At 38.1% G+C, this 25,917-nt stretch overlaps 1 long non-coding RNA gene across 1 annotated transcript in view; it reads left to right on the plus strand.

The window, feature by feature from the left end:
• The first annotated feature begins 710 nt into the window (after positions 1 to 710).
• STPG2-AS1 (STPG2 antisense RNA 1) overlaps positions 711 to 25,917 on the plus strand; it is a 123,239-nt gene continuing 98,032 nt past the window's right edge. The window contains exon 1 of the long non-coding RNA NR_102713.1: positions 711 to 773. This is a non-coding gene — a long non-coding RNA (STPG2 antisense RNA 1). The remainder of the gene's footprint in view (positions 774 to 25,917) is intronic.

Below are 25,917 nucleotides of genomic sequence, written 5' to 3' on the forward strand. Positions count from 1 at the left end.
ATTTAGTTCTCACAGAAAAACTAGTAAATAGGCATTTTTGTCTGCATTTTCCATAAAAGTAAGTTCAGGTTTACAGCGGTTGAACAACTAGCCCAAAATCACACATTAGAATTGGTATTTGATCCCAGGTATATGCAAATATTCCAATATAAGTGCTGTTAACCAATATTTACCATATTTGTCTCTCAATGAGTATAGGAAACTTTTAAAAAGAAACAAAGGTCTGTTTTTTTTAATTTTCTAAGCATAGACAATCATGAAATTTGACTAGCAGACAGACTCTAAGGTGACTCCGGCCTCACAGTAAAATACCCGCCTGCTGATATTCACACTCCTGCCTAATCCCTCCCCTTGAGTGTAGGTGGCACCTGTGTGACTTGTGCCTAATAGTATATGAAAAAGTGATAGGATGCCACTCCTATGATTACATCACATTATATAAATCTTGCTAGTCGACTGCTTTAGAGCTTCTCCTTGCTGGTTCAATGAAGTAAGCAACTATGTTGAAAAAGTCCACATGGCAAAGAACTGCTGGTGGCCTGTAAGACCTGAGGGCAGCCTCCAGCTGAAAACTGACAGGCAGAAAAAAGTCAGGGTCCTCAGTCCACAGCTACAGTGAAATGAATTCTGCAACCACCTGATTGAGCTTGAAATCTGATGCTTTCCCAGCTAAGCCTCCAGATGAAAATGCAGCTCGGTTGAAACCCTGCAAAAATGAGCAGAGAACCCAGCCAAGTTGTGACTGGAGACTCCTGACTTACGGACAATAAGAGGTAAGAAATGTGTGTTGTTTTATCCACTAAGTTTATAGAAACTTGTTATGGAGTAGAATAAAACTAATATTCTGGATGTGAAACCGGATTGTCAGCAATATTTCAGAAAGTAAAAAAAAATCTTTATTTCATTTCACTTGCATCTGAATCATATCTGTGTGAATTCTCCTCTCTTGAAATGTATACTCTAGACCTCTGGGATTACCTTAGCTGTCTTGACCTTGAGACTTGGAGCAAATCCCAAAACGAATAGTGTTCAGAGTGTCATCTTGTAAAGTGTACAGATAGAAGTTTTCCTTTCTTCAAGTTAAAGTATTTTTTATTCTGCAAGTGAGAAATCATCTCCTGAGTCATTATTATTCAACATCAAATATGCAATATTTGAATTGAGATTTTGCTAACTTGCCAGGAAAAAAAAATAACAATGTTCTTTTATTTTTCTTGTTGTCCCTTGATTTTTTTGAGTGCCCTTTATAAAAAGTCAAGATATACTCAGGGAAAAGGTACTGAATTTCAGAGACTTTGGGGTCATGTTGCTTAATTTCAGAAACTATTAAATGTCAGAGAGCCACCTGAAAGGAAGGTGAATATGTTTGGTAATGGAATTCTTTTGGTTGCTATTGCATTTTGAATAATGTTTGGGAGAAATTTAGCCAGATGCATTGACAAGCACTGCAGTGTTTCCAGATATTGTCTGTATAGTTTTTATCACTGCCATAACAAATATCACAAACTTAGTACCTTATAACAACATAAAATTATTGCCCAGTTCTAAAGGTTAAAAATCAGTAGGTTTGGCTGGTTTCTTTGCTCTGGGTCCCACAAGGCCAAAATCAACGTGCCATCAGGGCTTTATTTGTTCTGGAGGTTCTTGGGGAGAATCCATTTCCCTGATCACTTAGAATCCAATCTTTTGACAGAGTTCAGTTCCATGGAGTTGTGCTACTGAGGTACTGAGGCTCTCTCCTGTTACTTTGCTGGATGTTGAATGAAGGTCATTCTGTTTCTAGAGGCTGACTACATTCCTTGGCTCATTGCCACCTTCCTCCATCTTCAAAGCAAGCAACAATGACTCAAGCCCTTCTCACATTTCAAATTTCTCTGCCTCATCTATCTCCTCCCTTTCTCTTCTGCTGGATCTCTGACTGTAGGCAGAGAAATTTCTCTGTTTTTAAGGGTTCATGTGGTTAGATTGAGCAAACCTGGATAACCCAGGATAACCTCCCCATCTCAAGTACTATAACCTTAATTATGTCTGCAAAATCCCTTTTGCCATATAACCATAATACATTCACAGGTTCTGGGAATCAGGAAGTAGGCATTTTAGGGAGTCAGCATTCTGTCTACCATGTTACTCTTTAGATAAAGTTATAATTTAGTAACAGACAGTTGTATAGAGCCACAAACATTTTTAAGTTAGGGGCGATTAATTGGATCAGCCTAGAATAGGGCACACAATCTTGATTACACATAATGTAAAAAGTACAAAGCAGAAAAGCAAATAATTTCTTATAGCACGTTCTCTCTTTCCTGTACAAAGACCCATCTGAAAGTTTCTCTATAGTTACAAAAATTTATAAAGCTTTGACCTTATGCTTTTAATAGCTAGTTGTCTAACAATGACACATTCTTGTATTTTTCTCCCTTTACCCTGAATGTTTAATTCACTGACATTTAAAAAATCACAGTAATACAAAATTTAAATTTTTAATCATTTTAAGTGTACCATTCAGAGGTATAAAATATATGCACAATGTTGTTTGACCATCACCACTATCTATTTCTATAACATTTTTTGTTATCTGAAATAGAAACTATACCCATTGAGCAAAAACTCCCATTTCCCCTCCCCAACCCCACCTTTAGTAACTTCTATTCTACTTTCTGTCCCTAAAAATTTTCGTGTTCTACATACCTCATGTAAGTTGAAATACGTAATAGTTTTCCTTTTAGGTCTGGATTATTTCAGTTAGCATGATGTTTCAAAGTCCATCCATGTTGTAGAATGTATCCGAACCTCATTCCTTTTGATTGTTGAATAACATTCCATTATGTGTATATCAAATTTTGTTTATTCATTCATCTGTAGATGGACACTGGGATTGCTCCCACTTTTGGCTATTGTGAATAATGTTGTTATAAACATGGGCACACAAATAACTCTTTGAGATCCTGCTTTCAAGTCTTTCAGGTATATACTCGAAAGTAGAATTGCTGGGTCATGTGGCAAATTATATTTTTAATACTTTGAGGAGCTGTTTTCCACCGTGGTTACATTATTCAACATTCTTACCAACAATACACAAGGCTTCCAATTTCTCCACATTCTTCCCGATACTTAAATACTTATTTTCTGCTGAGTTTTTTTGTTTTAGTTTTTTTTTTTTTTTTAATAGTAGGTGTCCTACTCGGTGTGAAGTGGTAGCTCATCATAGTTTTGATTTGCATTTACCTAATGATTAGGATGATTAGTTCTGTGGTCTGAATGTCTGTGTCCTCCCAGCCCCCAAATTCATATGTTTAAACTTAATCACTAATGTAGCATTATTGAGAGGTGGGCCTTTGGGAGGTGATTAGGTCATGAGGCATCTACTGTCATGAATGGGATTAGTCCTCTTATAACAGAGGCCTGAGGAAGCTTGTTCACCCCTTCTGTCATATGAGGACACATAGAAAAGATCATCTATGAAGCTGAGAGACCTCATTATATGCTGAATATGGTGGTGTGTTGATCTTGGACTTTGCAGCCTCTAGAACTGTGAGCCATAAATTTCTGTTGTTTATAAATTACCCAGTCTAAGGTATTTTGTTATAGCAGCCTGAATGCACTGAGACAATGAATGATTTTGAATATCTTTTTAATGGTTTGTTGGTCATTTGCATGTCTTCTTTAAAGAAATGTCTATTCACATCCTTTCCTCATTTTAATTGGGTTGATTTGTTTTTGTTTTGGAAGGGTATGAGTCATTTATTCTCAATATTAAACCAATATTAGATATATGATTTGCAAAATTTTTCTATCATTCTATGGGTTGTCTTTTTACTCTCTTGATAATAATCTTTGATGCACAAAAATTTTTAAATAAGTTCAATTAATCTACTTTTGTTGTTGTTGCCTGTACTTTTGGTATTATATCTGAAAACTCATTACCAAATCCAGGGACATGAAGATTATCCCTCTAAGTTTTTGTCTGAAAAGTTTATGGTTTTAGCTATTAAATTCAAGTCTTTGATCAATTTTGAGTTCTCATTGATTCTTAAGCTTATAGTTTATGCTTTCATTTTTCAAGCTTTTGATTCAGACAAAAAATATATTGCTCACATTATTATTATTATGTTAATGGTTTGGCAGCAGAAAGGAATTCCTCCTTTTTTAAAAAAGTGGAAGTCTAATAAATGAATAGTATGGTATTGGGTTTTATCTATTTTAATAAAGGTAGTGGAGAATGAAGGTTATAGATATTTTATAAACTATGGCCATCCAACTTTTTCTCATTTCATTTCAAAATTCACACACAGAAATCCAAAGAGCTAAATGTTTTTCTGCTCTGTAAGAAAGTTGTTAAATTTGTGTATTTATCATTGTGTAATGAAGAATTAGTCTGGCATCCCCATTTCCTGGGAGGTAACATTTTAACTCTTGGAATTTCTTGAGTGATATGGGTATCTTTGTTATCCATGATGGACCCCAGTCACAATTGATGTGTATGCTAATGAGGTGACTCAGGGCAGGCCCTCAGATCGCTTATGCTAATGAGATTACTCAGGATGGAGACTAGTTATGTCAGAAAAACCACCCACGTAATTAGAGGATTTTGGGCTTTGAGCCAAGTGACATCAACCCCTCCTCTGGGGAAGGCTTTGAGATTGAGTTTATCCACATGGCCAACGTTTCAACAATCATGTGTACCCAGTGAAATGTCAACAAAACTTCTGGACACTGAAGCTTGTGTGAACTACCTTGGTTGTCAGTATTCTTTGAGCATTGTTGTACTTTGATACTGAGAGAGTAAGACATTCCTTTGGACAATGGAGACTTTGTAAATGGAACTCTTGCAAACTCTGTTCTACGCATCTCTTCTTTTTTCTTGTTATCGTTTGTATCCTGTTGCTATAATAACATTGTAATGATATAAGAAGCATTTTCAGTAAGTTCTGTAAGTCTTTTCCATAAATTGTTGAACTTAAGGGTGGTCATGGGAAACCCTGAGGTAGCTGGTCAGAACTGAGAGTGGCTCTAGAATCCCCAAACTTGGAGCTGATAATTGAAGTGAGGGCAGTCTTGTAGAGAACTGTGCCTGATATAGTTTGGCTGTGTCCCCACCCAAATCTCATTTTGAATTGTAATTCCCACAATGCCCATGTGTCATTGGAGGAACCTGGTGGGAGGCAATTGAATCATGGAGGCAGGTCTTTCCCATGCTGTTCTGGTGATAGTGAATAAGTCTCATGAGATCTGATGGTTTTAAAAATGGGAGATTCCCTGCACAAGCTCTCTCTCTCTCTTTACCTGCTGCCACCCATGTAAGATGTGACTTTCTCCTCCTTGCCTTCCAGCATGATTGTGAGGCCTCTCCAGCCATGTGGAGCTATAAGTCCCTTAAACCACTGTCTTTTGTAAAGTGCCCAGTCTCAGGTATGTCTTCATCAGCAGTGTGAGAACAGACTAATACAGAGCTTTTACCCTCCAGTTTTGACAAATTCCAGTGCCTATTCAAATACTGTGTGACAAAGGAGATAACTGGTTATCTACATGCTAGAATTGCCCTAGTACTTCCACTCTCCCACCACAAGCAACTTAAATTCTACCATTAGAATAATACAATGAAAAACCACATATCTCCGGAGAAGTCTTTTAAAATTCAAATGCACCTGTGATTGGTAATGTATCAAATGTTTTTAATCACCCATACCTAATGCTATTTATTCTATTAGATTAGTAAAAGCAACCTACAATCACATTGTGAAAGAATAGGAGTTTCAAGAAAAGATAGTAACCTGAGACAATTTTCCAAGTTAGGGTTTCATGAGGAGCCCTGGTGGGCATTATGTACTCTGGAGATGTAGGTGGAAGAATGAGATTGTAAAGAGTGGGGGAAAATGCTGTAAGAGTAGAGTGGTAGTGTCCCCAAAGCAAATCACCAGCTTTATCATTTTTCTTCGGGCTAGCAATACATTTTGAAAGAAAAATCTCCAGTCTCAAAATTCCCATAAGATGAAATGCATATTTGTTTGTTTGTTTGTTTTTGTAAAAAAGCCCTCTTATGTTTATTCTCCTTAAAACAGATAACATGAAAATAGCATGGCAGTCCCAAGCCATAAACCAACAGTAAAACACAATGACCTTTATTTGTTGCTATAGATACTTGCTGAATTATAGACAAATGAACCGAATAACTGTGAAGCAGACTCATGTGGTCCACTAAAGGGAGTTCTGAGTTGTGAAACTCATGAATTAAATATTCATTGAGCAGTACCCATATTTCACCCTTGTACTATATTTTATAGGGTATTCAAAGGAAAAATTAGGATCACACTATTTTCAGGAATCTTATAATTATGTTAGAATTATATATAATTACATTTATAATTTATAATTAATTCTAATAAAGATGGTGAAAAAAGATGAACAAGTACAGAAACATCTTAAAATCACTAGTTCTTTCTGGATAGGTGTTTCAGGAAAGCTTTTTACATAAGGTTATTTCTGAGAAAGAAACATAGCAATGTTATAGGAATATCATGACAGGATGCATATTTTGGAGAGACAGAATAAAGTATGGTATATTTGAAGAAAAGAAGTAGTAGATGCACAGATTAAAAGACAAAGTCGGACAACTATAGAAAATAGCAGGGCAGTGTATTAGTCTTTTCTCATGCTGCTAATAAAGATGTACCTGAGACTGGGTAATTTATAAAGAAAAGAGGTTTAACGGACTCACAGTTCCACATGGTGGGGGAGGCCTCACAATCATGGTGAAAGATGAAGGAAGAGCAAAGGGACATCTTACATCGTGGCAAGGAAACTGTCATTTATAAAACCATCAGATCTTATAAGACTTATTCACTACCATGAGAACAGTATGGGAGAAACTACCCCCATGATTCAATTATCTCCACCTGGCCCTGCTCTTGAGACATGGAGATTATTACAATTCAAGGTGAGATTTGGGTGGGGACATAGCCAAATCATATCAGGCAGTATCTGGCCATAAGTCAAGAGTTAAACCCATTGACCTTTATAAAGCTATAGAAAAGTTCAATAAAGGAAGCCAAGTAAAGGGTTAACAGGAACAATAATTGTTAAAAATAGAAAAAGACTGGCTTTAATGTGGAAGACAATTAGATGGGAGTGGAATAGAGGCAAGGAAACAAGTTAGAAGTTTATTGCAATAATTTGCTAAATGATGAGTCCATAATTGATTTTATGGAAGCAGGCCAACGGCAGTGAAGAAAAGGGTAGAAATTGAAAATAATACAAGGATTTTATTTCTCAGTGATAAGGTGATGGTATCAACCATAAAACATGTGCACCCACACACACACCAAAAGGTGACTAAGTTGTTGTTGGAGGTGGTGGCTACAGATTGAAAGTTTTCTTTCCCTAAAAATGTATGTGTTGGAATCCTAGCCCTCAAGGTGATGGTATTAGGTGGTGGGACTTTTAGAAGGTGATTGGGTCATGACAGTGGAGTCCTCATGAATGGCATTAGTGCCATCATAAAAAGTGCCTGAGAAAGCTCCCTTCCTTCCGCAAGGACACAGTAAGAAGTCTCCATCTATGAACCAGGAAATGGGCCCTCACCAGACAGTAGATCTGACAGTGCCTTGTTCTTGGACAGCCCAGCCTCAAGAAGTGTGAGAAATAAAAGTCTGTTGTTTAAAAGCATCATAGCTTATATTTTGCTACAGCAGTCCAAATGGACATGTAAAAGTGGTCTTATAATTAGTTCAGTTTTATTATGTGGTATTTTAGGTATCTGGAAAATTCAAGTGTGCATCTTCATAAAGTAGATAGAGAGATAAGCATAAAACTCAGAAACAAGAAAAACTACATTGTGACTTATTTATTAATAGTTGAGGGTCAATATTATGTTGATTCTAGTTGAAGCCTAGGAGTAGATGAAATCACCCTGAGAAAATAGATTAGATAAATGGAAGATGAAGAAGAAAATCAATCCATAATCCTGAAAAACAGTAACTCCAAATGAGAAGGAATAGACAGACAATCCTGCAAAGAAGATTGACATAAAGAACAAGCTAAAAAGTAGAAGGAAAATAAGGAGAAAGTGGGGTATCAGGCAAAGGAAAAGCTTTTCCCAAAGTGGCAGCTAACAATGTCAATTACCACATGAAAGTCACATAAAAAACACTGAAAACTGTAAATTGCATTTAAGAATTAAAGGTTATGGGTAGCTTGTGTCATAGGGTTAAAGCTTGACCCCTATGACTTGAAGAAGAAGTAAATGGAGACAGCACAGTCCAGCTTGGCTGAAAAGACCAGAAGTTGTTGAAAAGCATACAGTGAGAGGCTTGAACCTGTGTGCAGATTACAGAAAAAGGCACTCTTGCATATGTGAAGGACAGAGTAATGGATACAGAAAACCACTAATGGAAAAGAGTTGAGATGGATTCAAGAGTTTAGGGGGAGGGTGAAGCCTCACAGTTAATGTGAATACATGATGTGCTGAATATGTGAAAGAAAGATTACTCTGGGCTGGAGGAATCTGAGAGAAATTCCTGGAGGTCTCGAGGCTTGTGCAGGAGCTTAAATGCAGACCAAAGTTAATGAGAAAGAAGGTGCAAGAGCATTCCAGGCAAACAATGCAAGGATGGTCACACAAATTACTCATCAATTTCAGAGAAGCTTCATGGTGTGAGGATATAAAAGTAAAATCTGAAACTTGAGAAATTTTTTTTTCCAGAATGTATCCCATAAATTAAACTACAAGAGTTTTGTAGCTAATCGAATGGACTGAGAGATATTGCCATGTTTTCCTTAATTTACTATTGTATCTTTATTTTATTATTGTATAAACAAGGGAAGATTATGTGCCACAAAATATAGTACTTAAACTCATTACATGGAACTAGGATACTTACATTTATTTCCTTTCCTTTTATTTTTAAATTGTAGGATAATTGTGTTTATTTTTAATTATCATAAAAGTGTACTCATATAATATAAACATTATTTTTTATTTTTATTTTTTCCTCTACGTTTTAAATTTTTTAGAGATAGAGTTTTGCTTTGCCCAGTTCTATTCTGGAACTCCTGGGCTCACGTGATATTCCTGCCTCAGCCTCTTGAGTAGCTGGACCTACAGGCTTGTGCCATCACTCCTGGCTATATAACAGTTATTTTTAATAAAGATAATACATAGAAAAAAGTCACTCATACTACTTCCATCCAAAGATAGAAACTACTATAGATAATAACCATATTTTTTTCAGTAAAAAACCTTCTAGTCTGCACTTTTTACATAACTGAGATGCTACAGATAGAGACATATAGAGAGAGAATTCTGCTTTAATTACATACATTTATAACCAGTTTTTCATGTGTTTTAAAAAGTCCCATAAAACCTTTTGAAGGACTGCAAAACATACTCTACTATATTTAGACATTTGTCTATTATTAACAATTCAGTTGTGTTCATTTCCATAATTCCAAGTAATACTTATGTGCATAAATTATTGTCTACATTGGATATCGTTACCTTACAATAAATTTACAGGTATTATATTATAGAATCAATGAATGGAACTGACATATCTTGACCATCAACTTCTTTATCAAAATTGTAAAATATTTGTTTTATATTTTTTAATGAATGACCAAGGAATCATCATTCCCATATATGCTTCCAACTTCTTTTTGAAGGCTATTTTTTTCTTGTTGGGGCTCTTTAATATTGTGATGTTACATGAAATTTGTGGGAAATTATTTTGTGAAAGTACTTGGTTTGTTCAGTTGAACTGAGGAACAGAAGTAAAATAGTTACAGTAAATACCTGAAACAGTGGTGCAAATCCACTGTGATGCATGGCAACTAAAATAAAATATGATTTATAATGGCATTTAGAACACAAGCACATTCTATCAAAGAGTGTATGTAGAAGAACGCTTGCTTGGAACCTGAGTCTGCCTGTGCCTCCCAAACTGAAAGTGAAAATTAATAGGGAACTTCTATTTATTCAATAGCTTAATGTAAATTTCATGACAAATGGTAGCATTCACTCCTAGATAGAGGAAGAAAGAAATAAATAAAAAGAGCGAGAGAAGGAGAAAAAGCAAAGAAAAGAAGAAAGAAAGAAAGAGAAAGAAAGAAAAGAAAGAAAGAAAAAGAGAACGAAAGAAAGAAAGAAAGAAAGAAAAGGAGAGAAAGAAAGCATGATAATTTTATGCATCAAATTGAGTAGGCTAAGTTGCCCAATTGTTTGGTCAAATATCAGTCTACATGTTGCTGTGAAGGTATTTTTTAGATGTGATTAACATTTAAATCAATAGACTGAGTAAAGCACATATAATGTTGTTGGGCTTTATTCAATAGTTAAAGGCCCTGTCTGAGTTCCTTTGAAATGCTATAACAAAACACCTGAGACTAGGTCGCTTATAAACAACAAAAATGTATTTCTTATAGTTCTGGAGGCTGGGAAGTTCAAAATCAAGATATTGGCAGGTTCTGTGTCTTATGAAGGCCCTCTTTTCCATAGATGGTGCCTTCTAGCTATGTCCTTACATGAGAAAAAGACTAGCTAGCTCTCTGGAGCTTCTTTTACAAGAGGACTAATTAGGCAGAGCCCTGGTGACCTACTCCCTCCCCAAAGTCTTCACTTTCTAACACTATCAAACTGAGAGTTAGATTTCAATGTATAAATTTGGAGGGGCACAAACATTCAGACCACAGCAGGCCTTAAGAGAAAAGACTGAGAGGTTCTCTAACAAAAAGGGCATTTTGTCTCCAGATTGCCTTTGGACTTAAGACTGCAGCATCAATTCTTGCTGAAATTTCCACCTGCCATACTGCCTTATAAATTTCAGACTTTTTAGCCCCCACAATTGTGAGAGCCAATTCTTAAATATAAATATCTCCCCGAGAGAAAGTGATCAAGATCCTACTGGATCTTTTTCTCTGGAGAATCCTGACTAATACAGGTAAATGGGTAAGTAGATAGATGGATGCATGCATAAATGTATGGATGGATGTGAATGAAGAGATGGATACATGGATAAAGAAATGCTCCTTCCAAGTGGTTTGAAATTGTATGCTGAAAGCACACTGGAAGAGTAGTCAAAAGATTAGGGTTTAAATCCTGGTTCTACCATTTACTAGCTGTGTGGGCCCCGAAAAATCTTTTAATGTCTCTAAGTTAGTTTCCTCATCTGTAAAATAGATCAATAGTATATTCTCTACCTATCTTGTAAGGATGTTATAAAGATTAATAATAAAAATAATACACATAATGACTGCTAATAGTTATTAGGTGTTAACTATAAGCCACATAGTAATCACTTTGCATACATGATGTCATTTACTCCTCACCAAACATCTTCAAGGTAGATAAAATTATTATCCTGATTTTATGGCACAAAATCTTATCTCAAATATTGTTTCCTCAGAGAGATCATTCTTGATCATCTTACCTAAAGTAGCACTCCCTCAGTGGAACTCAAATTCCCTCCCTGTTTAATATCTTGAATACTAATCACAATCAAAGATTACCTTGCTTAAATGACTTGTTTACAGTTTCACTATTAACATGGCAGACAGTAGGTGCTTGTGTAATACTTGATGAATGAATGAATACATGCATGAATGAATGCATGAATAATTGAATAAATAAGACTTGTTTTGGGGAGGTGTGAGTATGATAATTCAACATACGTAACCATTCGAAATTTAGAATTAAAATCTCTAGAGATGAACACGACTACAGTTTACACCACTACAAATGTGAAAGGACCTCAAAGACTCATCTCTACTCTTGCTGAAAATGCCTAAGTCACAAAGCCACTTCTCTGGCTCCCACTTCCACTCTTCTACAGAGCCAGAGGGCTGGGAAGCCAGGATAAAGCAGGAGGATGCACTCATGAATGGTACTTTCTCCCTGAGCAGTACTTACTTAAAAAATATATATTATTCAATGTATAATGTTGACTCTTGCCCTCCTATATAATAATTATCCTTTTAATGCATCCCAGTCCTTCAATAAAACAGTTCCTTTGACCTGTATATTTTGGTGTTGGTTTTATTTGAAGGACCTAGATGACAAAAAGGAGGAAGGATTTCATCTGCCTCCATTTCTCCAGTAGCTCTCTGGACAACATGCTGCACCCTACAGAAAGAGGGAGTTTCTAGAAGGTAAACAGTGTTGTCAGGAGTGGAAACCCAGTGATGTTGGGCACATGTGCAAATCAAAGGCTACCAAGAACTAGTACCTGAATTTCCTGATCACAGTCTAGGGTAAGCCACCCTCAAATGAATAAACAGGAGATTGGGGAGGAATATGAGAAGAGGGTATTTAAAGAAAAATTTTATTCATGGGGGAACTGTTACTGGACAGATCATGAATTGCCCAGGTTTACACTTCAATGGCAGAGAAAGGTCTAGCACTCTACTAATTCTTTCCACCATATGGTGTTTCACCTTTTTTCTTAACTGACAACAAGAATTACACAGCTTCTTCTCAATAAATACATTAGAATAATAAAGATAAGAAAATGATATTTCAGATTATGATGAATGAATACTTGCACTTGGCAAGGCATTCTCTTCCAAGAGGCCTAATTAAGTTATAATTTCAAAGGGTTCTTCAAGTGATTCTCTGATGGTGCCTTTACTATATTTTCACACATCACATCTTTTGCCCCCACCTGAAATGATGTTACACATGGTCCAGCGGCTGTTGTAACCAGGCATCAACTTTCACCTTTATTTAGGATTTCACTGAAATTCTGATTTAGTCAATCTTATCTTTAAATGCAAAGTCAAAATAAAAATACTACTTTCCCATTTCCAGGATTAATGTTTTTAGATCCAAGCTACAAAGGACCCTCTCCATTTGGCATCTTATGGGTTGAATTTTGAGATCCCATCCAGCAAAATTAAGCATGACCTGGTAGACTGGTGAGTCTCCTGCTTGAGAAGCTGCACTTGAAAGTTCTGAGGAGGATTGTTGAAATGACTCAGGCCCTCAACCCGGGTGAGACAAGCCAAACTCTGATTTGATATGACACAATATGACAAACCTCATGCTTACCCTTCAGCCTTAGTGGACAGTTTGTGAGCTGTTGATCTCAAAGGACTTATTTATCTTTTTTATGACAACTCAAGGTATTATTAGCTTTTCTTTCCTAAACACACTCTTATCCAGAATCACAGGTTCCTTCCTTTTTCTGGGATATGCTTTTGTGTTACTTTTGCATTCTTTCTATTGTCATTTTTTATTTCCTGGACCCTCATTCTTACTCATTCTTTTCTCAGTTTTTGAACAAAGAATCCACAAAAGGAAAACTATATTTTAATGCATAGTGGCATTGGCACCCTGTCATTTCACAAGAATGTAACAAATGCAGACTCCCCTACCAAGTACACATGGTTTTCCATAGGCCTTAATTATATATTTATTTTAATTGAAGAAAGTGATCTGCTGCAATAAACTTTGTCACAGTGTTACTGTGAAAACACTACCTGAGATGGTTAATACTGAGTGTCAATTTGATTGGATTGAAGGATACAAAGTATTGATCCTGGGTGTGTCTGTGAGGGTGTAGCCAACGGAGATTAACATTTCAGTCAGTGGACTGGGAAAGGCAGACCCACCCTCAATCTTGGTGGGCACAGTCTAATCAGCTGCCAGTGTAGCTAGAATATAAGCATGCAGAAAAATGTAAAAAGAGAGGCTGGCCTAACCTCCCAGCCTACATCTTTCTCCTGTGCTGGATGCTTCCTGCCGTCAAACATCAGACTCCAAGTTCTTCAATTTTGGAACTCAGACTGGCTCTCCTTGCTCCTCAGCATGCAGACAGCCTATTGTGGGACCTTGTGACTGGTGTGAGTTAATACTTAATAAACTTCCATATATATACACACACACATATGTATATTACATTAGTTCTGTCCCTCTATAGAACTCTGACTAATACAGATATTTTTACCAGGAGTGGTTCTAGAGGAACAGAATATTAAGGATTGAGTTCTTTCATTGGTTTGGGGGTTTCTGGAGTTAGCTGCTTATATGATTACACCCCAAAATGCTAAGGACCCTACTTCTAATAGTATGGAGAACACTGATAGTCCTTGTCATGAACTGTTTAGAGTTATGCAAAATAAGTGCACTGACAATCCTGATTCATCGCTCGCGAGAGGCAAGTTTAGTGACTCCATACATAATACCTTTGACCATATGTGGAGAACCAGGGAACATAATGAAGTTGGTTGGTTGCACCTAAGTTCAGTGGACAAAGTGATGACAGAAAATGATGAACTCAGGGATTCTATCTCCCAGCTTCAGAAGCAGTAGCAGATACTGAGCAAATCTGCTAAGATTGACCTGAGTGAGAGTCTCATCTCCTGTAGAGAAAGAGCTGAAATTGTGGAAAAACAGACACAAGCTCTTATCATGTGAGTGGCTGACATGCAATGAAAGGTGCAGGCACAGCCTCACTAGGTGTCTACTGTTAATGTGAGGGCATTGATTGGAAAAGAATGGAGACTCTGCCACTTGGAATGGGGATGGGTGTGGGGGGGCCTGATGAAGCTGGGGACACCGTAAACTCTGATGAACCTTTTTTGTCAGAAGAAACAGCTTCCCCATCCCTAGTAGTGGCAATATCCCCTCCATGACCCATGCTGCCATCAGCTTTCCACATTTGTCTGAGGAGATAAACCCTGCACTGCCTGAGGCAACAGTGATGGCCTCCCTTGAAGCAGTTGCCAGGCAAGATAATGTTGATTCTCCTCAGGAGCCACCTCCAACACCCCTGTTTGCTTCTAGACCTATAACTAGACTAAAGTCCCAGCGGGCCCATAGAGGTGAGGTTGAGAGTGTGACCCATGAGGAGCTGTGCTACACTCGGAAAGAACTTCTTGAGTTTCCCAATTTATATAAACAGAATCTGGAGAATAGGCATGGGAATGGATATTAAAGGTATGGGATTAGGTGGAAGGAACATAAAGTTGGATCAGGCTGAATTTATTGATTTGAGCCCACTAAGTAGGGACTCTGCATTTAATGTGGCAGCTCAGGGAATTTAAAAAGGTTCTAACAGTTTATTTGCTTGGTTAGCTGAAATATGGATTAAAAGATGGCCCACTGTGAGCGAGCTGGAAATGCCTGATCTCCCTTGGCTTAATGCAGAGGAAGGGATCCAAAGGCTTAGGGAGATTGGGATGGTGGAGTGGATTAGTCACTTTAGTCCTACTCATCCCAGCTGGGAGGCTCCAGAAGATACACCCTTGACCAATGCCTTGCAAAATAGATTTGTGAGGGCAGCACCTGCATCTTTGAAGAGCTCTGTGATTGCTGTTTTCTATATGTCAGATCTAACAGTGGGAACCACAGGCACTCAACTACAAAATTTAAACACAATGGGAATAATTAGATCCCAAGGTGGCAGGGGCCAAGTGGTGTCACTCAACTGTCAAAGGCAAGCTGGGCATAGCTACCATAATGGACAGCAAAGGCAAAGTGGCAATCAGAACAGTCTGACTCGTGTAGAGCTCTGGCATTGGTTAATTAATCACACTGTTCGTAAAGGTGAAATTGATAGGAAGCCTACTGCATTCCTACTTAATTTATATAAGCAGAAGATTTCTAGATCGATTGGACAAAAGACTACTTTGAATTATAAAAACAGAATCATAGCCTCAATCAATTTCCAGACTTGAGCCAGTTTACAGACCAAGAAACACTTGAATAAAGGGGAGGCCAGACCCCATTATATTACCAACAATTTAGACAGTGAATCATTCTCCCATTCTTCCCCAAGGAGACCTATGTCCTTTTGCCAGGGTAATTGTGGCTTGGGGAAAGGGAAATGATCAGACATTTCAGGGACTACTGGACACTGGCTCTGAGCTGATGCTAATTCTAGGGGACCCAAAAAGTCATTGTGGGCCTCCAGTTAAAGTAGGGGCTTATGGTAGTTGTGTAATTAATGGAGTTTTAGCTCGGGTTTGACTTACAGTGGGTCCAGTGGGTCCCCGGACTCATCCTGCTGTCATTTCCCCAGTACCAGAATGCATAATTGCCATAGACATACTTAGCAGCTGGCAGAACCCCCACACTGGCTCCCTGACTGGTAGGGTGAGGTCTATTATGGTGGAAAAGGCCAAATGGAAGCCATTAGAGCTGCCTCTACCTAGAAAAATAGTAAATCAAAAATAATATTACATCCCTGGAGGGACTGTGGAGATTAGTGCCAGCATCAAAGACTTGAAAGATGCAGGGGTGGTGATTCCCATCACATCCCCATTCAAGTCTCCCATTTGGCCTGTGCAGAAGACAGATGGATCTTGGAGAATGACAGTGGATTATCGTAAGCTTAACCAAGTGGTGACTCCAATTGCAGCTGCTTTACCATATGTGGTTTCATTGATTTGAGCAAATTAACACATCTCCTAGTACCTGGTATGCAGCCAATGACTTGGCATTTGCTCCATTCCTGTCCATAAGTTCCATAAGAAGCAACTGGGCTTCAGCTAGCAAGGCCAGCAACATGCCTTTACAGTTCTACCTCAGGGATATATCAACAGTCCGGCTTTTGTCATGATCTTATTAGAAGAGATCTTGATCACTTTTCACTTCCACAAGATATCGCACTGGTCCATTACCTTGATGACCTTATGCTGATTGGATCCAGGGAGTAAGCAGTAATAAACACACTGTACTTACTGGTGAGACATTTGTGTGCCAGTGGATGCGCAATACATCCGGCTGAAATTCAGGGACCTCTACCTCAGTAAAATTTCTAGGGATCCAGTGGTGTGAGGCCCATCGAGATATTCCTTCTAAGGTGAAGGATATGTTGCTGCATTTGGCCCCTCCTACAATCAAGAAAAAGGCACAACATGGATTTTGGAGGCACCACATTCCTCGTTTGGGTGTGTTACTCCATCCCATTTATCAAGTGGCTTAAAAGGCTGCCAATTTTGAGTGGGATCCAGAACAGGAGAAAGCTCTGCAACAGGTCCAGGCTGCTGTGTAAGCTGCTTTGCCACTTGGGCCATATGATCCAGCAGATCCAATGGTGCTTGAGGTATCAGTGGCAGATGGGGATGCGGCTTGGAGCCTTTGACAGGCCCCCATAGGTGAAACACAATGGAGGGCTCTAGGGTCTTGGGACAAGGCCCTGCCATCTTCTGCAGATAACTACTGTCCTTTTGAGAGACAACTCTTGGTCTGTTACTGGGCTTTGGTGGAAACTGAACATTTGACCATGGGTCATCAAGTCACCATGTGATCTGAACTGTCTATCATGAACTGGGTGCTTTCTGACCCATCTAGACATTAAGTGGGTCATGCACAGCAGCATTTCATCATCAAATGGAAGTGGTATATACATGATCGGGCTCAAGCAGGTCCTGAAGGCACAAGTAGGTTACATGAGGAAGTGGTTCAAACACCTATGGTCTCCACTCCTACCACCCTGCCTTCTTTCCTCCAGCCTGCACCAAGGGCTTCATGGGGAGTTCCCTATGATCAGTTGACAGAGGAAGAGAAGACTAGGGCCTGGTTCACAGATGGTTCCACATGATAAGCAGTCACCACCCAAAAGTGGACAGCTGCAGCACTACAGCCCTTGTCTAGGACATCCATGAAGGAAGGTGGTGAAGGGAAATCTTCCCAGTGGGAAGAACTAGAAGCAATGCACCTGGTTGTGCACTTTGCATGAAAGGAGAAATGGCCAGATATGCAATTATATACTCATTCATGGACTGTAGTCAATGGTTTGGCTGGATGGTCAGGGGCTTGGAAGAAGCATGATTGGAAAATTGGTGGTAAAGAAATTTGGGGAAGAGGTTTGTGGTTGGACCTCTCTGAATGGTCAAAATCTGTGAAGATATTTGTATCCCATGTGAGTGTTCACCAATGGGTGACCTCAGCAGAGGAGAATTGTAATAATCAAGTGGATAGGATAACCCATTCTGTGGACATCACTCATCCTCTTTCCCCAGCCACCCCTGTCATTGGCCAATGGGCCCATGAACAAAGTGGCCATGGTGGCAGGGATGGAGATTACACATGGGCTCAGCAACATGGACTTCCACTCACCAAAGCTGATCTGGCTCCAGCCACTGCTGAGTGCCCAATTTGCCAGCAGCAGAGACCAACACTGAGCCCTTGATATGACACCATTCCTCAGGGTGATCAGCGAGCTACCTGGTGGCAGGTTGATTATATTGGATCTCTTCCATCATGGAAAGGGCAGAGGTTTGTCCTCACTGGAAATAGACACTTACTCCGGATATGGGTCTGCCTATCCTGCACACAATGTTTCTGCCAAAACTACCATCCATGGACACACAGAATGCCTTATCCACCGTCATGGTATTCCACACAGCATTGCCTCTGACCGAGGCACTCACTATATGGCTAAAGAAGTGCAGCAGTGGGCTCATGCTCATGGAATTCTCTGGTCTTACCATGTTCCTCATCATCCTGAAGGAGCCGGACTGATGGAAGGGTGGAATGGCCTTTTGAAGTCAAAATTACAATGCCATTCTCCCGTGCTGGATGCTTCTTGCCCTCGAACATTGGACTCAAAGTTATTCAGTTTTGGAACTCGGACTGGCTCTCTTTACTCCTCAGCCTGCAGACAGTCTACTGTGGGACCTCGTGATCATGTGAGTTAATAATACTCAATAAACTTCCATATATATATATGATCATAATGGACTATATATATTGGATTATATGATTTTTATATATATTTTATATATATATATTATATATATGTGTGTGTGTGTATATATATATATATTTTTTTCATTAGTTCTGTCCTTCTAGAGAACCCTGACTAATACAGTACTCATCCAACTAAATCGCTCCCTTAAATGAGAGACCAGGTAAATACATCTAGATGGGCTCCAGGTAGTATCCAGTCTGCTGTGGGTTTTTGTTTGTTTGTTTTACTTTTCATTTATCTTACTTTAACTAAAGAGGGAAGAAGGAGTACTTACTTTTGGAAGTTTAAAGAAAACTATAAAAGTGGCCACTAGTGACCAATGAAATATTTTCCATAGGATGAAACTGAATGTACAAGAAACAGCAAGTGCCTGAACAATGTTCCCTTTAAATGTGTTAACAGACTGACAGAAGCCAGAAACATGTGTACCTACTCTGTCTGTGCTAAGAGGAAATGCTTATAAATAAAGATCATTGTTGAGAGAATGCACATATACAAATGGACTACACTCACATCAATGTTTCCGGGAAATCCTGTTAAGCCTACATTTAAATATACCCTGATTATGATCAGTGCTCACCACCTTGGTTCAAACCCACGAATTCACACCTAGGTTACATCAGTGTCCTTTCCTTTCATTCTTGACCCTCACACTGTTCTATCAAATCAGCACTTATATCCTTTTAAAATATAAATCAAACCAAAGCAAACTTCAGCTCAAATTTGGCAATCTCTCACTCAGTGTGAAAGCCTTGTAATGGCCTAAACATCCTTGCTGGATGTAGACATTTCTGTTTTGATTATTTATTTATGGCTGTGTAACAAATCACCCCCAATAGTTAATGAATGAAAACAGTGATCATTTTATTATTATACCTTATGTTTCTGGGGTTAATTTGGCTCAGCTTGGCAGTTCTCTCTCAGGTCCTCTCATGCATTCAGAGTCTGATGGTGGCTGGAAGGGACTCGAATCATCTGACAGGCCTTCTCAATTACAAGTCTGGCAATTGATGCTTGCAGCCAGTGGGCTGTTGGCCATACCCCCATACGTAGCCTCTCCGTATGGATTGCACTTCTCACAGCTTGGTGGCTGTGCTCCAAGAGTAAGCATCCCAAGGAACAGGAAGTAGAAGATGCCATTTTCTTAAAGTCTGACCTGGAAACTGGCACAGCCTCAAGTCAACCTTATGATACTCGTCAAGCAGTTGCTAGGCCTAGATTCAAGGGATGGGGTCTAAGCCTTCTTCCTCAATGGGAGGAGTGCCAAATAACTTGAGAGTTATGTTTTAAAACCACTGTAGCTGATCACTTCTCAGACCTCATTTCCCACTTCTTGCTCACTCATTTGCAGCCATACTTACCTCCTTGTTATTCTTTGAAAAGCCAGACATGCTTCTTCTTTCAGAACACTACTGTTCCCTCTAGGCCGATACATGAAAATGCTCCCTCCCGCAACATGCACATTGTCTGCATTCAATAGCGTTCCTGAAAGTTAAATCTAAAATTCCCCCCTGAAACTATGCTATTTATTCTACTAGGTTATTAGTTTTATAAGGAAACTTGATCTTATTCTTTCCTTGTTTCGCTTAATGGATCAAGTCATCACTAAATATAAAGTGAGTTCAAGAGTGAGGACACATTGATGTTTATAATGACTTATGGGTATGAAAACATCTTTAACTCATGAAAGAAATTGAATTATGTTTGGTATGGTGTAGTTAGTGAGGTAGGAGATGAACAGTTTATTTCTAACAAGATTTTCAATAATAGATACTGATATAAAGAGAGAATCTTGGTTAATTTAGGGTTAACCAGAAAACAACTTGAAATACCTCTTTGATTTCTTTTAGTTCAAGTTTCCACTGAAATAAACACATAAAGCTATTTTACGATAGATGGAAATTGCATCTTGTATTTATCTTATGCATACTTGAATATAATGTTCAAAGTTTTGTGCTGTAACATGATATAATAGTTTGTTCAAAGATACATTTTATTTTTGCTATCGTAGGAGCTGACACAAAAAAATTATAAATGGATGAACATTTTCAGGCTTTTAACAAGGTAATTGAGAAATGCATGCTTTCATGAAGAAGTATAAAATTCAGGAGGGTAATATATAATGTTACAAAAATGTCCTTTGATGAATGATGAAGGAGGAAGGGCTAAAACATAATTATCCTATGTCACTCCTCAAGTCCAATTAACCACTAAGTGCTATTTATTCATTCTCTTGTATCTGTCCTTTTCTCTCCACCTTAGCACCAGCACCTTGAATTATGCCATCATCATTTTGCAGTCCACTATGGTAACAATTTCCTAAATGGTTTCCAAGACTCCTGTCTTGCCCCCTTAAGTTCACTTTTCACATTGTCACTGGAGTAATATTTCTTAAAATAAATGTGAATCATACAGTGACACCTTTCCCTTCTTAAACTCCTTCAGTAGCTCTCCATTGGCTTGAGGGAAATATAAGTGTGGTGCAGTATCTGCTCATTATCTAGTTAGTTTCTCTACATGCATTCATTGGGGATAGTGGATACAGAAAATTATGAATAAGTCAGATAATTCCAGAAAAAGTAGCTGCAGTACCAAGACCAGGAAGGACTGATCACCGTAAATGGTCACACAAACAGCCAGATTGAAAGAAAGGGCCAACAGCAAGTTTACTGCACCACTGATCCTTGTCTTTACTGTACTATTGGGGTGAAGACACACTCCCTTTCTCTCAAGTTGGGATAAATGAATGTACCTCCTGTTATGCTGTCTCTGCCTTATTAACAGTAAAGAAGGCCAAAGACACATGGGGTCTCTGGCAAGTTCCTCTGGTTGCACTGGATTTAGTGTTTGTGGTTTGGGACCTAATAGCAAGAAACAATGGCTAGTAGTCAAATCTGAGGATTAATACTCACGGGCTCCTGGAAGACTTTCCTTACTTCCTCCTCTTTCCAAGACTAGGTGATGTGTTCTTCTTTGTGCCAGTGGGAGTCTGTGATTATTTCTGTAACAGCATGTGTCAACCTTTATTCTAAATTCTAGTTTATTATGTTCCTCCTCCACCTGTCTGTATGTTACTTAAGAACAACTGTAAGGACTTCACCTAGCACAGTTCCTGACACATACTGGACTCTGAATTAATAAAATGAATGAATTATTGAGATGTTGAATAATATCAGGATTGAGACTATCACTACAGTATAGTGTTATCTTCAAATCCCAGGGCTGCAGGGGCAAGTAGAGGACAAGACACTGCTGGATAAGAATGTCTCAGCTTACTTAGTAAGAACCTTGGTCCTAATATATATGTAAAACAGCTGTAAGTTAAAATATAGTGATCAGAGTTGACACCCTTGCATTATTTCTGATCTCAAAGGAGAGTGATGAATGTTTCATCATGTGTGATGTTGGCTGTAGGTTTTTCATAGATGCCCTAAGTTAGACTGAGAAAGTTTCTTTCTATTTCTCATTTTCTGAAAGTTCTTATTAAAATGAGTGCTGAATATTACCAAATGCATGTTCTGGTTCTATTGAGGTTATTTTATGATATTTTCTTCTTAATATGGTGAATTAAATCAGTCAAAATTTTAGTGTTCAACAAAGAGCATTTCTGAGATAAACTCTTATCATGATGCATTATTCTTCTCCTTTGTCATATGATTTGATTTGCTAACGTTTTGTTAAGAATTTTGTGTGTATGTTCATAGGTTTCAGATTTGTCTGTAGGTTTTTCATAGATGCCCTAAGTTAGACTGAGAAAGTTTCTTTCTATTTCTCATTTTCTGAAAGTTCTTATTAAAATGAGTGCTGAATATTACCAAATGCATGTTCTGGTTCTATTGAAGTTATTTTATGATATTTTCTTCTTAATATGGTGAATTAAATCAGTCAAAATTTTAGTGTTCAACAAAGAGCATTTCTGAGATAAACTCTTGTCATGATGCATTATTCTTCTCCTTTGTCATGTGATTTGATTTGCTAACGTTTTGTTAAGAATTTTGTGTGTATGTTCATAGGTTTCAGATTTTATAAGTCCTGTTAACATCATTTCAGGTTCACTGACTCTTTCCTTGTCTGTGCCCAGACTGCATCAACTGATCAAATAAATTCTTCAGGTTTTTTATCATATATTTTTATTTCTAATAATCCCATTTGTTTCTTTTCTATAGTTTTCATCTCTCTCCTGTTGTACCCCAATGTTGCTAACCTCTTCTTTAAAGCATTTAACATATTTCTCATAGTTATTTTAAAGCTCTTGTCTGAAAATTCCAACATCTAAGCCATCTCTGCATCAGACTTTATAACGGTTTCCCTTCTGAGGATGTATTAATTTTTTGATGTTTTATTTGTCTTAGAAGTTTGGATCACATGATAGTTATTGTGTGTTAAAAATACAAAATAGTATAATGCTAAATAAGTATTATTTAGCCCAGAAAAGTTTACATCTTGTGTTATTCTGTCCTCACACTGCTATAAAGAACTACCTGAGATTGGGCAAATTATGGAGAAAAGAAGTTTAATTGATTCACAGTTCCACAGGTTGTACAGGAAACATGTCTGGGAAGCCTCAGAAAACTCACAATCATGGTGGAAGGAAAAGGGGAGGCAAGCACCTTCTTCACATGGTGGCAGGAAAGAGAAAGCAAAGGGGAAGAGCTATACAGTTTCAAACAAGCAGATCTCATGATAATCCTATCATGAGAACAAGAAGGGGGAAGTCCAACCCCATGATTCAATCCCCTCCCATTAGGCCCCTCCTTCTACACATGGGGATTACAATTCAACCTGAGATTTGGGTGGGGACACAGCCAAACCATATCACATCTCTGTTCTGTCAGACTGCCAGATATGGGGGCCTAAGTTAATGTAATCTGTATTTCATTTTGTCTGAGCTTAGTTATACTTGTAATTAGATTTAGGTCACTACTGGCTTCAATTTCAGGGCAACATGATGGCCTTTCTCCAAGAAGAGGCTAGAAACGCATGACACTGTTTCTGAAAACAGCAATATGATTTGGGGATGGTCTTTGGAAGATGCAATACAATTTTAATAACCTTACTGTAGAATATATTTTTACTCTTTAAATGTATTTTTGGTGTTCTAAAAAATAAGTAAAAAACCTTTCAGTCAACTCTGTTAAATAAAATTAGTATGACTAAAGGATAAAATGTTATGATTACAGTAAGGTGGTGTGACGGCAGTGGGAAGATATTGATTTCTTAGACTGTTTTCTGCTTTGGCCCAAAGCAAAGTTCATAGCAGATTTCAAGCAATGGCAATCTCTTTGGACTAGGTTACTACCCAAGGCAATTACTTTGAAAGGGCAACGTGTCTGAATTAGTAATTTTTTCTCATCTAGTGCTTCTCAAAAGTTAATGTGCATACAAATCACCTGGGAATTTTATTAAACTATAGTTTCTAATTCAGTATGTCTGAGGTAAGGCCTGAAATTTAGCATTGCTACTAAGCTCCCAAGTGATGCCAACCCTTGGATTACACCTTGATGTGCAATGGGTTAGTCTCCTGGCCCTAATATCATAATTCCTGACTCCCTACTATGGTAGCTAGCTTACAAGATGGCCCCTTTGATTCATACCTGACGGCATTGTACACAGACCAATACTGTATCTGGATTGGTCCGTGTGATCAATTAGATATGGCAGAAGTGATGGTATGTCAATTCCAAGATTAAGTTACCTAAGACACTTTGGCTTCTGTCTTGGTTGATCTCTATTTTCTACTCTCTCACTCACTCTGGTGGCACTAACTGCCACATTGGGAACATTCCTATGGAAAGTCTTACATGACAAGGAACTGAGGCCCAAAGCCAACAGACAGTGAGAAACTAAATGAGATCAGAAGTGGATCTTCCAGCCCTTTTCAAACCATCAGCTGAATGTATCCCCAGATGGTAACTTGCTACAACCTTGTGAAAGATTCAGAGCTAGAATTCTAGATTCTAAGCTACTAAAATTCTAGATTCCTGATCCTCAGAAACTCATAACAATAATAATAACCAATAATAAAGCTTTATTGTTTTAATTTGGTTGGATAGTTTCTTATGAAGAAATAGGTAACAACCAGTGCAGGTTGCTTAACTTCTCTATGTTAAACTCAATAATGTCTGTAGGTTTTAGAACAAGTAGATCACTGCTTTTCAGTTGGATGCTATATAGGGTTGAATTGTGTTACTTCCCTCCCCTAGCCCCTCAAATGGTGGGCCCTAAATTCAATAACTGTTGTCCTTATAAGGAGACACAGAGACATAGACACACAGGAAAGAATCCCATGTGACAACAAAGGCTAAGAATAAAGTGTTGCAGCTGAAAGCCAAAGAATACAAAGGATGGCCAGCAATCACCAGAAGGCAGAAAGAGGAAAAGAAAGAAAGAGCCTTGAGAGGAACAATGGCTCTGTCAACATCTTGATTTTGGACTTCTCATCTCCAAAACTGTGAGAGAATACATTTCTGTTTTATTAACCCATTCAGTTTGTGGTAATTTGTCATGGTGGCTCTAGGAAATGAATACAGGTGCCCATAAGAATGACCTGTAAAACATCTAAAAATATACACGCCAAGATTATCTTGAAGACACTATGAATAACAATCTCAAACGTGGGGCTCAGGTATATGCATTTTTAACTCTAAAGCTTATGATACATAGTCAAGCTTGAGAACCTCTGAACTAGATGATTTTGTAGTCCTAAATCTAAAAGTCAATGGCTTCAAGTCCTAGTAAAATATTTTTAAGTGTGTTAATTTATAAGCCTACCTTGATTATTCATGCAAGTGCATGAAAGACATTTGTAATTATTTGCATGGATATATGCATAAACCTAATGAACTGTTTTGCACATTGACATTCTAGGTGTTGAGCTGTTCACATTAAGTTGTTTGTTTTGGAGTTAATATCAGTTTTAGAGACAACTACATTTAGATGTTTAAAGATTTATAATTATCCCAAACAAGAACAACATATGGTTTTGCTCCTATAAGTGCTTCACAAAGAATAACTGCTTGTATTCTCATGCATTTTTGGATTGTGTAATAAAGTGGAAAATTATCAGGATCTGGCTCTCCAGTTTTGACTAAAATAATTACTGAAGAAATTGAACAGATGCTGGGTATAAATAAATTTTATAAACTCAGATATTTTGGGGTTTTCTGTGCACTCTGGGCACACTTGTGGTGATATATTTATGATGGCCGCAGTGAAACAATTAGTTTGTACT

This window comes from Homo sapiens, chromosome 4, assembly GCF_000001405.40.
Source record: "Homo sapiens chromosome 4, GRCh38.p14 Primary Assembly".
Classification (NCBI taxonomy): Eukaryota; Metazoa; Chordata; class Mammalia; order Primates; family Hominidae; genus Homo; species Homo sapiens.